Source organism: Homo sapiens, chromosome 2 (assembly GCF_000001405.40).
Source record: "Homo sapiens chromosome 2, GRCh38.p14 Primary Assembly".
Classification (NCBI taxonomy): Eukaryota; Metazoa; Chordata; class Mammalia; order Primates; family Hominidae; genus Homo; species Homo sapiens.
In genome coordinates this window covers 60,448,448-60,462,936 of record NC_000002.12, presented here as the reverse complement: position 1 = coordinate 60,462,936, position 14,489 = coordinate 60,448,448, and the positions used below count along the sequence as shown (strand labels likewise).

Sequence of the window (14,489 nt, the reverse complement as noted above, 5' to 3'; positions counted from 1 at the left end):
TTTTGATACCTCTATGAAATGTTTGCCTATTTAGAAAGTTCACCTGTCACCCAGGGGGGAATAGAAAGCTGGGATTTAGGAAGCCAAAAAGTTTCCTTGGGTCACCTTGTCCAAGTTTCTCACTTAACAAGGAGGAAACAGAGGCACATGGAGATGAGATGGCTTGCCCCAAACTACAGCTGATGGAACTGGAAAGTTTAGAAGACATTTGTTGAGGTGCCTAGAATGTAGGGACCTTCATCCTCAAGCCAGAACTGGTCAGGATTTTTCTGCTTTGGGGATTGGATATAAAATTTCTAGAACTGAGTTTAATGGCAGGAAGATCAATTGGACCAATATTTACTGGGTACCCATGCTCAGACGTGCCAGGCACAGGGGGTAGGTCAGTGAGGGCTTAGGCCTTGGGGTTGAGGGGTGGGGGCAGGGAAGGCTGGAGGTGGAACATAAATAAGCAATTGCTGATGCCCGCCTCAGTGATTAAACATTGATGTTGGTGTTGTATTATTTTGCAGGTAAAGATGAGCCCAGCAGCTACACATGTACAACTTGCAAACAGCCATTCACCAGTGCATGGTTTCTCTTGCAACACGCACAGAACACTCATGGATTAAGAATCTACTTAGAAAGCGAACACGGAAGTCCCCTGACCCCGCGGGTTGGTATCCCTTCAGGACTAGGTGCAGAATGTCCTTCCCAGCCACCTCTCCATGGGATTCATATTGCAGACAATAACCCCTTTAACCTGCTAAGAATACCAGGATCAGTATCGAGAGAGGCTTCCGGCCTGGCAGAAGGGCGCTTTCCACCCACTCCCCCCCTGTTTAGTCCACCACCGAGACATCACTTGGACCCCCACCGCATAGAGCGCCTGGGGGCGGAAGAGATGGCCCTGGCCACCCATCACCCGAGTGCCTTTGACAGGGTGCTGCGGTTGAATCCAATGGCTATGGAGCCTCCCGCCATGGATTTCTCTAGGAGACTTAGAGAGCTGGCAGGGAACACGTCTAGCCCACCGCTGTCCCCAGGCCGGCCCAGCCCTATGCAAAGGTTACTGCAACCATTCCAGCCAGGTAGCAAGCCGCCCTTCCTGGCGACGCCCCCCCTCCCTCCTCTGCAATCCGCCCCTCCTCCCTCCCAGCCCCCGGTCAAGTCCAAGTCATGCGAGTTCTGCGGCAAGACGTTCAAATTTCAGAGCAACCTGGTGGTGCACCGGCGCAGCCACACGGGCGAGAAGCCCTACAAGTGCAACCTGTGCGACCACGCGTGCACCCAGGCCAGCAAGCTGAAGCGCCACATGAAGACGCACATGCACAAATCGTCCCCCATGACGGTCAAGTCCGACGACGGTCTCTCCACCGCCAGCTCCCCGGAACCCGGCACCAGCGACTTGGTGGGCAGCGCCAGCAGCGCGCTCAAGTCCGTGGTGGCCAAGTTCAAGAGCGAGAACGACCCCAACCTGATCCCGGAGAACGGGGACGAGGAGGAAGAGGAGGACGACGAGGAAGAGGAAGAAGAGGAGGAAGAGGAGGAGGAGGAGCTGACGGAGAGCGAGAGGGTGGACTACGGCTTCGGGCTGAGCCTGGAGGCGGCGCGCCACCACGAGAACAGCTCGCGGGGCGCGGTCGTGGGCGTGGGCGACGAGAGCCGCGCCCTGCCCGACGTCATGCAGGGCATGGTGCTCAGCTCCATGCAGCACTTCAGCGAGGCCTTCCACCAGGTCCTGGGCGAGAAGCATAAGCGCGGCCACCTGGCCGAGGCCGAGGGCCACAGGGACACTTGCGACGAAGACTCGGTGGCCGGCGAGTCGGACCGCATAGACGATGGCACTGTTAATGGCCGCGGCTGCTCCCCGGGCGAGTCGGCCTCGGGGGGCCTGTCCAAAAAGCTGCTGCTGGGCAGCCCCAGCTCGCTGAGCCCCTTCTCTAAGCGCATCAAGCTCGAGAAGGAGTTCGACCTGCCCCCGGCCGCGATGCCCAACACGGAGAACGTGTACTCGCAGTGGCTCGCCGGCTACGCGGCCTCCAGGCAGCTCAAAGATCCCTTCCTTAGCTTCGGAGACTCCAGACAATCGCCTTTTGCCTCCTCGTCGGAGCACTCCTCGGAGAACGGGAGTTTGCGCTTCTCCACACCGCCCGGGGAGCTGGACGGAGGGATCTCGGGGCGCAGCGGCACGGGAAGTGGAGGGAGCACGCCCCATATTAGTGGTCCGGGCCCGGGCAGGCCCAGCTCAAAAGAGGGCAGACGCAGCGACACTTGTGAGTACTGTGGGAAAGTCTTCAAGAACTGTAGCAATCTCACTGTCCACAGGAGAAGCCACACGGGCGAAAGGCCTTATAAATGCGAGCTGTGCAACTATGCCTGTGCCCAGAGTAGCAAGCTCACCAGGCACATGAAAACGCATGGCCAGGTGGGGAAGGACGTTTACAAATGTGAAATTTGTAAGATGCCTTTTAGCGTGTACAGTACCCTGGAGAAACACATGAAAAAATGGCACAGTGATCGAGTGTTGAATAATGATATAAAAACTGAATAGAGGTATATTAATACCCCTCCCTCACTCCCACCTGACACCCCCTTTTTCACCACTCCCCTTCCCCATCGCCCTCCAGCCCCACTCCCTGTAGGATTTTTTTCTAGTCCCATGTGATTTAAACAAACAAACAAACAAACAGAAGTAACGAAGCTAAGAATATGAGAGTGCTTGTCACCAGCACACCTGTTTTTTTTCTTTTTCTTTTTCTTTTTTCTTTTTCCTTTTTTTTTTTTTTCCTTTATGTTCTCACCGTTTGAATGCATGATCTGTATGGGGCAATACTATTGCATTTTACGCAAACTTTGAGCCTTTCTCTTGTGCAATAATTTACATGTTGTGTATGTTTTTTTTTAAACTTAGACAGCATGTATGGTATGTTATGGCTATTTTAAATTGTCCCTAATTCGTTGCTGAGCAAACATGTTGCTGTTTCCAGTTCCGTTCTGAGAGAAAAAGAGAGAGAGAGAGAAAAAGACCATGCTGCATACATTCTGTAATACATATCATGTACAGTTTTATTTTATAACGTGAGGAGGAAAAACAGTCTTTGGATTAACCCTCTATAGACAGAATAGATAGCACTGAAAAAAAATCTCTATGAGCTAAATGTCTGTCTCTAAAGGGTTAAATGTATCAATTGGAAAGGAAGAAAAAAGGCCTTGAATTGACAAATTAACAGAAAAACAGAACAAGTTTATTCTATCATTTGGTTTTAAAATATGAGTGCCTTGGATCTATTAAAACCACATCGATGGTTCTTTCTACTTGTTATAAACTTGTAGCTTAATTCAGCATTGGGTGAGGTAATAAACCTTAGGAACTAGCATATAATTCTATATTGTATTTCTCACAACAATGGCTACCTAAAAAGATGACCCATTATGTCCTAGTTAATCATCATTTTTCCTTTAGTTTAATTTTATAAACAAAACTGATTATACCAGTATAAAAGCTACTTTGCTCCTGGTGAGAGCTTAAAAGAAATGGGCTGTTTTGCCCAAAGTTTTATTTTTTTTAAACAATGATTAAATTGAATGTGTAATGTGCAAAAGCCCTGGAACGCAATTAAATACACTAGTAAGGAGTTCATTTTATGAAGATATTTGCTTTAATAATGTCTTTTTAAAAATACTGGCACCAAAAGAAATAGATCCAGATCTACTTGGTTGTCAAGTGGACAATCAAATGATAAACTTTAAGACCTTGTATACCATATTGAAAGGAAGAGGCTGACAATAAGGTTTGACAGAGGGGAACAGAAGAAAATAATATGATTTATTAGCACAACGTGGTACTATTTGCCATTTAAAACTAGAACAGGTATATAAGCTAATATTGATACAATGATGATTAACTATGAATTCTTAAGACTTGCATTTAAATGTGACATTCTTAAAAAAAGAAGAGAAAGAATTTTAAGAGTAGCAGTATATATGTCTGTGCTCCCTAAAAGTTGTACTTCATTTCTTTTCCATACACTGTGTGCTATTTGTGTTAACATGGAAGAGGATTCATTGTTTTTATTTTTATTTTTTTAATTTTTTCTTTTTTATTAAGCTAGCATCTGCCCCAGTTGGTGTTCAAATAGCACTTGACTCTGCCTGTGATATCTGTATCTTTTCTCTAATCAGAGATACAGAGGTTGAGTATAAAATAAACCTGCTCAGATAGGACAATTAAGTGCACTGTACAATTTTCCCAGTTTACAGGTCTATACTTAAGGGAAAAGTTGCAAGAATGCTGAAAAAAAATTGAACACAATCTCATTGAGGAGCATTTTTTAAAAACTAAAAAAAAAAAAACTTTGCCAGCCATTTACTTGACTATTGAGCTTACTTACTTGGACGCAACATTGCAAGCGCTGTGAATGGAAACAGAATACACTTAACATAGAAATGAATGATTGCTTTCGCTTCTACAGTGCAAGGATTTTTTTGTACAAAACTTTTTTAAATATAAATGTTAAGAAAAATTTTTTTTAAAAAACACTTCATTATGTTTAGGGGGGAACTGCATTTTAGGGTTCCATTGTCTTGGTGGTGTTACAAGACTTGTTATCCATTTAAAAATGGTAGTGGAAATTCTATGCCTTGGATACACACCGCTCTTCAGGTTGTAAAAAAAAAAAACATACATTGGGGAAAGGTTTAAGATTATATAGTACTTAAATATAGGAAAATGCACACTCATGTTGATTCCTATGCTAAAATACATTTATGGTCTTTTTTCTGTATTTCTAGAATGGTATTTGAATTAAATGTTCATCTAGTGTTAGGCACTATAGTATTTATATTGAAGCTTGTATTTTTAACTGTTGCTTGTTCTCTTAAAAGGTATCAATGTACCTTTTTTGGTAGTGGAAAAAAAAAAGACAGGCTGCCACAGTATATTTTTTTAATTTGGCAGGATAATATAGTGCAAATTATTTGTATGCTTCAAAAAAAAAAAAAAGAGAGAAACAAAAAAGTGTGACATTACAGATGAGAAGCCATATAATGGCGGTTTGGGGGAGCCTGCTAGAATGTCACATGGATGGCTGTCATAGGGGTTGTACATATCCTTTTTTGTTCCTTTTTCCTGCTGCCATACTGTATGCAGTACTGCAAGCTAATAACGTTGGTTTGTTATGTAGTGTGCTTTTTGTCCCTTTCCTTCTATCACCCTACATTCCAGCATCTTACCTTCATATGCAGTAAAAGAAAGAAAGAAAAAAAAAGGAAAAAAAAAAAAAAACCAATGTTTTGCAGTTTTTTTCATTGCCAAAAACTAAATGGTGCTTTATATTTAGATTGGAAAGAATTTCATATGCAAAGCATATTAAAGAGAAAGCCCGCTTTAGTCAATACTTTTTTGTAAATGGCAATGCAGAATATTTTGTTATTGGCCTTTTCTATTCCTGTAATGAAAGCTGTTTGTCGTAACTTGAAATTTTATCTTTTACTATGGGAGTCACTATTTATTATTGCTTATGTGCCCTGTTCAAAACAGAGGCACTTAATTTGATCTTTTATTTTTCTTTGTTTTTATTTTTTTTTTTATTTAGATGACCAAAGGTCATTACAACCTGGCTTTTTATTGTATTTGTTTCTGGTCTTTGTTAAGTTCTATTGGAAAAACCACTGTCTGTGTTTTTTTGGCAGTTGTCTGCATTAACCTGTTCATACACCCATTTTGTCCCTTTATTGAAAAAATAAAAAAAATTAAAGTACACATTGTAAGCTTCTTGTGTCCTCATTTGACACACTCTGTAAATTACTTGCAAGAAAATAACAGGTTTTAAGAGAAGGCCAGTCAGTCTTTTTCAGGATTATTTCTATGGGCATTCTGATGCGTGTATTATACCCTAAAGGAACATAAAGTACTTACTATATTAAAATAGACATATCTCAAACCCTGGACATAGTTTTAAGGCTTTCCAGTTTAGAATAGTTTTCAAGAAATGGAAGGTGTTTTCAGTCTGATGTTAAAAACTTACTCCATCTCTTAGCAGAAATCCATTCAAACATAAGTGAAAAAACTTGCTGGTAATAGCATCTTAAACTTTTATTTCCTTTAAATTTTTTGCTGTTCTTGTTGTCTAAAAGTTCTTTTCTATTCTCCCATCCTTGCTTTATCTTAGAACATAATGTAAAAAAGATTTTTTTAAAAAAAATCAGCTCTTTGGTTTCCATGTAAGAGTCTTTTCTCATAACAAAATAACCCCACTTTTGAAATCTAAAAATCTGGAAACAAAGGCATCAGGTTTTGTTTTGTTTTGTTTTGTTTTGTTTAAAAAAGAGGGAGAAAAAAAGAGAGAGACGAAAGAAAAGAAAGCAGCCACTAGGGGTGTAGCCAGACATAGTGAAATCTTTGGAATCAGCCACTGATTTCCTGAGATGCATAGTGGTTTGCCTTGTGGTTCTGAGATCCCAGGAACCCTAGATGCTACAGATTACTTTAGGTGTTTTGATAGGGTCTTCCTGGATGACAGCAAATAAGGGCGGGAATACCCTTCAATTATCTTCTGACCAGCCAGTTAGGTCTATTTTAAAAATCCTTAGAAATCTGTGTTGTCACTTTTACAAATACTGCATGTTGCAGCATCTATTTGCTTTACTAAACACATACCTCTGTGATATCGTGTCCCTGTTCCCAGTGTAGATGAATGAATACGACATTGTTCTTATTTTTGTAAAAAACCAAAACAAAAGCCGTTCTGTTGTCTTCTTGTGGTAGCATTTTTTGTCGCTCAGTTCTTATGCCCTAGTGCCTGTGAGGTGGCCTTTTCATGTCATGCCTTTTATCTGAGGCAAGAATAGTTTTATCTTTCTAAAGTATAAAGAAAGTCAATGTTTTCTGAAAAGCCAGTTTGGGTGGGAAGGAGAGAGTGGGGCTAGAGGAATCCACTGAGAAAGGATGTTGGAGAATATTACATAGGAGGTGGGGTGGGGTGGGCGTGCGGTACCTTGAGAACTTGATGTTTGTCACTGAACTTAGAAAAGATATACTGTATGTGTTTTGGATTAGGTTTCTCCAAAACTGAATCCAAAATGCTGCTCAAGACAGATAGAAATAATTCCCCAGTGCCATGCCAGCTTTAGATGTGGTGACTTCGACTCCACCCTATTAAATGTCCATAAAACCTCTGTGTGTCCCTATTACTCTTTTATTAGGAGCTATGAGTGCAACTGTGTAGGTTTTATATACAGTATTCATTTTAATTTCTCAGTATATGCTGCTCTTAGCGTAATTAGGTTTTGCATCCTGACAGACAGAATTAATGGTGGATACTGTACACTTGTCTGTTCAAATTTCTTAAATCAAATGGGGAATGGGGAGGAGTGCAAACATCTGGTGATAAATCACAGATTATGTTTGATTTACATGGTCCCAAAGTTAAATAAATTTACTGGGAGATGGGTTCTTCAGGTTACTTAGTCTCCTGACTTATTGACGCCTTCTGATAAAATATTATTTCTGAAGCTGATGAACAATAGAAACATGAGAACCTAGCCAACATGATATCACTTATAAATGATATTTTGTATCCAGAACTCTAAAATTTAAAATCTTAATATAAAATAACATGCACATTTCCAATAGTAAGATGAATTCATGATCTTTTTTTTTTAAATGAGGAACTACTAAGAACATTAATGTCTCTTAAAATCCTCAAGTAAGTTTTTGTAACAGGCTTGACGTGCTGATGGAATGTTCTCTACATACCTGAACTGATGCTTAAAATGTTCTTTTTAATCTTCATTTGAGAACAACTTAATAAACAGGAATACCGCAAATTCTATTTCTCACAGATTTTAAACCAGAAACTCTTCCAGTGCCTATATTACCTCCTTCCTGAACCCATTTGCTATCCTCTCTTTGTTTAGGACCTACAAAAAGGCTGGAACCAACACATTACAAAGGTTGCTAAGAAGTGAGGTGAACACAGTTCTTCATTTGCACTGGCCATGGCAGAAAGTGTGAAGTAGTTGAGTTTTTCCCAGGGCATTCTGTAGATATAGAACTGTTTATTTAAATACCATTTTTGTATATGCAATAAGTACATATTGTATATAATCATAATGCTAGAAGTGAGAACTTGAAAGGAAGTGGCGGGAGATGGCTTAGGTATAATTCCAATTGGAGAAATAAGGAAATGAGGTGGTTTATTCACAGACACAGTTTGCTGAAAGGTACTGGGATTATTTCGGGCCTTCCTGAAAAGGAGTTGAGAAGCCTCAGGCCCCATCCTCTCCTGCTTGTAGTACTTTGCTCACAGAGACTGAGGGAGGAAATACAGTGTTTTCTTGTTTTAAGCCTCTTTTCCCCCTCCGTACACACATGAACATGACTTCTTATGACTGTGTTGTAACTGTGTGTTCCTCATTACGATTCTGTTACTCCATTGTCCCTGGGCCTGGTGTGTTCAGGAATGTACCCATCCCATTCTCTTTTTTTCAGACAACTTCCCATAAAAAAAAAATTGTGGGAACTTTGCCGATATGAGGATGGGATTGGCAGAGTTCTCTCAACCTGCTTGGAAAAATGTTTCTTAAAAGACTGCTAACTTTTAAAAGGCATGAGCCATCTAGCAGATTTTCCTAGTTGTCTCCTAAAGCCCTGCATATTTCCCAATAGAAAATAAACGAACCCATTGTTAGAGAAATGGACATCAGAACACATAGAGGGAATTGGTATGATGTGTATTTACTCTAGGGCTGCTATAGCTATGAACTGTGGACATGGGTTGTCCGGTCTGCACTTCTGCTTGCTGGCATCTCGTTATCCCATTAGCCCGCTGTTTAATTTACTACATACAGCACGAGGCCAGTGACTCAGCCTTTAGGGGAATGGGGCTGTTTCTCTCTCTCTCTCTCTCTTTCTCTCTCTCTATTTCCCAGCGTCATCTACGGTCATGGGATACCATTAATTCCTCCCTTCCAAATGGGAAAGAGACCAATCCAGTTCACACGGGTCATTGTACTTGAGAACCTAAACTTGGCTGAACACAGCTCGATGGTTGATCCAAATACGTTTTTCCTTTCTGTAAAGTGGCAAAAACTATTTCAAGGGAGCACGTGTATCAGATCTTTCATAGGGATGGTAGAAAAGGCAAATTAAGCCATTTCCCCAAGTATCCTCTAAAGCGGGAGCCCCTAAACCCATAGGGGGGCTGTGCTTTTAAATAGCTGTGAACGTGGTACATGCCCATGATATACTTTGTCTATTAGAATTTGAATATTGGTAGCAGGTTGGACGAAAGGGTTTGATTGGGGTATCAGCTAAAGGGGCCTCGACGACAGTGACTTAGCGCTGGACTGGGAATGGGATTCCCCAGAACCCACCTGGACGCAGCATGCCCCTCAGCCCAGGTCTCCGCTGCTCTGCTCAGGGGTGGGATGCGTGAGAGCAGCTGAGATCCAGACCCCGGGCCTCCTGCGGCGCCAAGTCAGGGGAGAGGAGGCCCCAGGCCCCTGCTTCGGGTCGCCATGGCAACGAGGCCTGGAATGCCACAGTGGTAGCCCTCTTCCTCGGCACATCCGGACTCCCAGTTCTGCTGCTTCAAGTCAATGTCCACAGCAAGGGAGGAACCCCGGAGGAAAATAACCACTCCCTTCTTCCCTTCACCATTGCCTTCCCCCTTCCAAAAAAGAAAAGAAAACTGCATGTTTGAAAGAAACTACAGGCAGTTTTTGGTGCAATTTGAGAGCAACTCTTTTGGGTTCTGGTTTTCTCTTCAGAGATTTGTTCGCCTCTTGTAAATCATTGGCTGCTTTGACGTTGAACTTGATGACATTTCATGTTTTCGTTGTGCTGCTTTTACATCAGTTTTGATTTTTTGTTTCTTTATAATTTTATTATTATTTTGAGAAGGTGTCCCCTTTCCCTCCTCCCTCTCCCGCTCTCCTCAACCAAAGGACTGTTTCTTACTAAGTTTTCTCAGTCATAAGGGCAAGTGTTTCCTTCCAGGTGTGTCCCGAGTTTATTAGGACTATCATACAATTGGGCAGGGGTGGGGGGACCTGGGTCCTCCTTGGGGGGACGGAAGGGAGGGAGGCATGGGAAGACGACTCAGAGGTCAGAGATACTTGGGGAGGGGAGGCTGAGTTTGAAATCATGCTTAAGATGCCAGTGGCTCGACCTGTGGTTGGTTTAAGTTCTAATTTTTAAAAAGCTAGTTAGAGAACAGAAAATCATTGGGCCAAGTCACACCTGTACTTTTTTTTTCCCCCTCCTCTGTCTCCAACCTCTTTCTAGGTTCTTCACACACCCCCATTCGGCGTAGTACCCAGAGAGCTCAAGATGTGTGGCAGTTTTCGGATGGAAGCTCGAGAGCCCTTAAGTTCTGAGAAAATTTGAAGCCCCCAGGGGTGGGGTGGACGCGTGCCGCCCAGTCGACGTCAGCGTGGTCTGTCATCCTGCTAGTTTGTGATGTTTTCTGACAGTAGCCTCCAAGAAGCCGTTGTGCGAAGACAGAGTCCTGCAGAGTCCTTCCAGCCTAGGCCTGCAGCGCCATTTTATTTATATTTTTTAATAAAAAGTAAAAACAAAAAAACAGACCCACATTGGAACAGTGAATCAGTCCCATAGAGAGGGCCCGTGGACCATCGCTGTCATGAGTGATGCCCTGGCCCTTCTGAAACCAGCCAACCTAATTACCTGTATTGTGGAAATGCGCATGAGTCCCCAACCCCTTGTTTCTATACATTCTATGTTGTCTTTTAAAAAGTGTGCTTAACATTGACACAATAAATGTTGGAGCTTTAGGTGGTGTTTGCTTGTTCTTTAATTTTTAATGCTTATAAGACAATGAGGCTGCTTATGATTTTGTACTTCTGTACCTGTTTCCTACAGACACCCATCGGGTGGGTAGGAGGAACAGATTTGAGAAATGGGCAGGAGATGTAGGAGGGGAACTAGGTTACCGCTTATCAGATGGCATAAATTTTCAAGGAGAATCAAAATGCAAAACTTGGGAATAAATCATAGCAATATCATAATTAATGTAGTAGTAATATTGCTGTTTATTAATGCTGAAGTGTGGTTTTCCTAACTGTCTGACTTATAATTTGCATACCATTAAATAATGCATAATATGGCACGCCGAATCCTGTTTTTCAAATATATGCTTTTGGTGGCTACCATGCAGGATTTGAATTTGTCTTTTAATTTAGCTTAGGAAAGAACATCACTGGGCGAGCGGTAAATCCTAAAGAAGGTGATAAATGTCAGTAGTTTCTTATTAAATATTCTAATTTTAGGTTCCCAAACCTTCAGGAAATATATCTTAATGCAGACAAACAAACATAAAACTTCTTTAGTACTTACATCAGGAAATTTGGGGCAGATTTTAGAGGGGGGAAATTATAGGAGGAAAGAAGTTCACATCAGAACAGACAATCACAGCAATGCTCTATTCCTTAGAAATTAGTGCCACAAATAAGTTACATCTACAAACAGGTGGTAAAAATTCTTTCTGGCCCAGTTAATTTGCACAGAACTTTTCTCAGTTTGGTATTTTTTACTGCTTGGAGATCCAGAAGAGAATTAGAAACAACATAGCAAATTAAAATAGGTTTGTCAATAATAGAGCTCAGACACCTGTGTGCTGTAGATTCACATACAGGCCGTGAACCTAAGTGGGGAAAATCCTACCTATCCACCTTCTGGCTAGATTACCTAGCTTAGTGAAAAGATAGCCAAATAATTGGCATGTGAATTATTTCCTGCTTATTCATAATAAATAATGACTGTCTACAGTAGTGAACTACCTTATACTGTATACAGTGCTGTCTCGTGCATTATTTCACCTGCTCTCTGGGACAGATCTCACGACTTCTACTTTATGGAGGTGGAGATTGAGGCTTACCAAGGTTAAGGGCTTGCCAGAGGCCACATCAGTAAGAGAGAAAGCAGAGAAGCCAGGTTTTCTGGTTTCTTGTCCAGAGCTAATTTCACCAAACTCTGTTTAACTGATCAAAGGGAGTATCTTTTCCTGTGTTAGCACATAAGTCATAAATGTTCACAGACACACACATGTGGCTTACACATACAGACCCAGGATGGCCTTTGGTAAAGGCATGCAGAGTTGCCTCTTCCTACCAACAGATGTGTGCACTGAGAAAGGGAGGTTGCAGCCTCCTTGCCATCACCTTTCCCCTGTGGCTTTTCCATGACAAATAACCCTGATTGCACGAGTGGCCTGTTTGTGACTTCCTATCAATTAGTTGGGACTTCCAGACAAGAAGTTATTTCATAAAGAAACCCTCTCCCTGCCCCATGCTCTGCCTATGTGTTGCTGAAACATAAGACCATTAGGGTTTCTGTGATGGCTTCCTCCCTAAATGTGCTGAACTCCTTGCTGATGCCTAGAAAGAGTGACACCACTTCCAAAGGGAGGCCAGAACTGAAACAACAATCCTGGGTCTTGAGACAAGTTCAGCCTTTGTAACTGCACTTGGTGGTCACTACACTTTCATTTCTGGTCTGTGTTTCTACCCCCACTTTTTATATATTTCTTCTCAGAGTCAGTTTGTAAATAAGTGGATATCTCTAAAAGTGGGATTTTTAAGGGGCAAGAGGATAACAGAAGTGGATAAAGGATATTGTTTTATCCTCTTCACTGTGGAGAAGAACCCCCTCAAAACAAACAGAACAAAAAGACTGTCTTTTCCCATGGCTTTTAAAGTTGAAAGACAACAAAAATTTATTTACAGAATTTATTAGGAAACGGTATTGTGTTAGGGCTAGCCATTTTTTTTTTTTTTTTTTTTTTTTTAAGACAGAATCTCGCTCTGTCACCCAGGCTGGAGTGCAGTGGCAAGGACTCAGCTCACCACAACCTCCGCCTACTGGGTTCAAGGGATCCTCCTGCCTCAGCTTCCCAAGTAGCTGGGACTACAGGCACGCGCCACCACGCCCAGCTAATATTTTTTGTATTTTTAGTAGATACGGCGTTTCACCGTGTTAGCCAGGATGGTCTCCATCTCCTGATCTCGTGATCCACCCTCCTAGGCCTCCCATAGTGCTGGGATTAGAGGCATTGCACTACCTCACCTGGCCTAGGGCTAGACTTTTGAAACCCCATACAAGATTGACAATTTGGGAAGACATCTCTCTGTGTGATGAGTCAAGATCATGGTTATCCATGAATGGCAGAAGCAGGGAAGAGGCTCACAAATCTGCCAGGGGTTCTCACTGTGTCCTCTCTGCAGAGTGGAACTTCAGATTGCAGAGAGATAAATTGGTTGCCTGACATGAGCACAGACTAGAGGACAGAGTCCCAGCCACTTGGATGGAGGAGACCAAATACAGGGCATTGTTTTTACTTTCCCAAGCCTTTTGTGGGCTGTTCAGATTATTATTATTATTATTATTATTATTATTATTATTATTATTATTATTGTTGAGATGGAGTCTCACTCTATTGCCCAGGCTGGAGTGCAATGGCACGATCTTGGCTCACTGCAACCTCTACCTCCCGGGTTCAAGTGGTTCTCCTGCCTCAGCCTCCTGAGTGGCTGGGATTACAGGTGCGTACCACCTGGCTAATTTTTGTATTTTTAGTAGAGACGGGGTTTCACCATGTTGGTCAGGCTGGTCTCGAACTCCTGACCTCATGAGCCACCTGCCTCGGCCTCCCAAAGTGCTGGGATTACAGGTGTAAGCCACCGCGCCCGGACAGATTATTACACTGTATAAAAAAGGTCTGTTAGAATTGGGGTCCATGATGGGAGAGAAAGACACTCAAAGCCCCTGCAGCACCCAGCATCCAGCATGTTGAATATCAGCCTGTTTGAGAAATAATTGTTTCAAAAACCAGTGATCATTTAAAGAAAACTCTTAGGCAAGGAGTGCAATCTTGGAATCTGCTGAGGTCTAACTGAGTGCCCCAAACCTTGGCAGCATATTTTCTGGGCACTTTTGCTTGGAGTTTCCAAGAGCATTCAGATTAAAACCAAGCCCTTCAAGTGGTCAGGAATATCTTTCAGGTTTTGTATGCGTTGACATGATTTTTTTTTTTTTTTGATAGTGAGGTTAACATTGACGAAGATGGCTATATTTATTCCTATTTTTAAAAATTCTTATTTTATAATTCTTATTTTATAAATCAGTGTCCCCGGAAGTAATAGTAGGATTAGAATGGAAGTATTTTGTAGGCTGTTGGTTCTGTTCTTACAGTATGCCACATAGCTTTGACTCCTTTTGGAGTATAGTGTGAAGGAAGCAGATTTGAGGAATTTTGAGTCTGGTGGAAGTTCCAAAATAACTGGTGATGCAAGCACACCTTCCTTCTTCAAGAGTTCATCTTGAGTTCCTAACCAGCAGAGAAACAATATTATATTTCTTTCCTCTGACTGCCTAGGAGAGACAGTACTCTTCAGTTTGCATTCCCCTGGAGTTACATTAAGTCATGGAACTTCTCACTTCCAGTAAAATCCAGAAGCAGTCATTGTCTGTTTTTCTATCTTAGTTT

General features: G+C 42.2%; 1 protein-coding gene across 37 annotated transcripts in view, besides 2 other annotated features; it reads left to right on the top strand.

The window, feature by feature from the left end:
- Nucleotides 1-12,417, top strand: part of BCL11A (BCL11 transcription factor A) — a 103,405-nt gene extending 90,988 nt beyond the window's left edge. For 14 of the 37 annotated variants that reach the window (NM_001405711.1, NM_001405709.1, NM_022893.4 and 11 more), the window contains one exon: nucleotides 513-5,743. In NM_001405711.1, the coding sequence (NP_001392640.1) occupies nucleotides 513-2,533 (2,021 nt within the window). In that variant the 3' untranslated portion in view covers nucleotides 2,534-5,743. Of the gene's footprint in view, nucleotides 1-512; nucleotides 5,744-10,270 lie in introns of those variants that run through there. The other 23 variants (NR_175964.1, NM_001405732.1, NM_001405733.1 and 20 more) reach the window with 9 other exon arrangements.
- Nucleotides 8,944-9,941: an enhancer, noted in NCBI's record as "NANOG-H3K27ac-H3K4me1 hESC enhancer chr2:60680131-60681128 (GRCh37/hg19 assembly coordinates)". NCBI's record gives its function as "activates a minimal SCP1, AML or CMV promoter by ChIP-STARR-seq in primed H9 embryonic stem cells {active_cell/tissue: H9 hESC(primed)}" and the evidence as "EXISTENCE:reporter gene assay evidence [ECO:0000049][PMID:30033119]".
- Nucleotides 11,751-11,840: an enhancer, noted in NCBI's record as "active region_15808". NCBI's record gives its function as "activates an Ori minimal core promoter by ATAC-STARR-seq in GM12878 lymphoblastoid cells {active_cell/tissue: GM12878}" and the evidence as "EXISTENCE:reporter gene assay evidence [ECO:0000049][PMID:35858748]".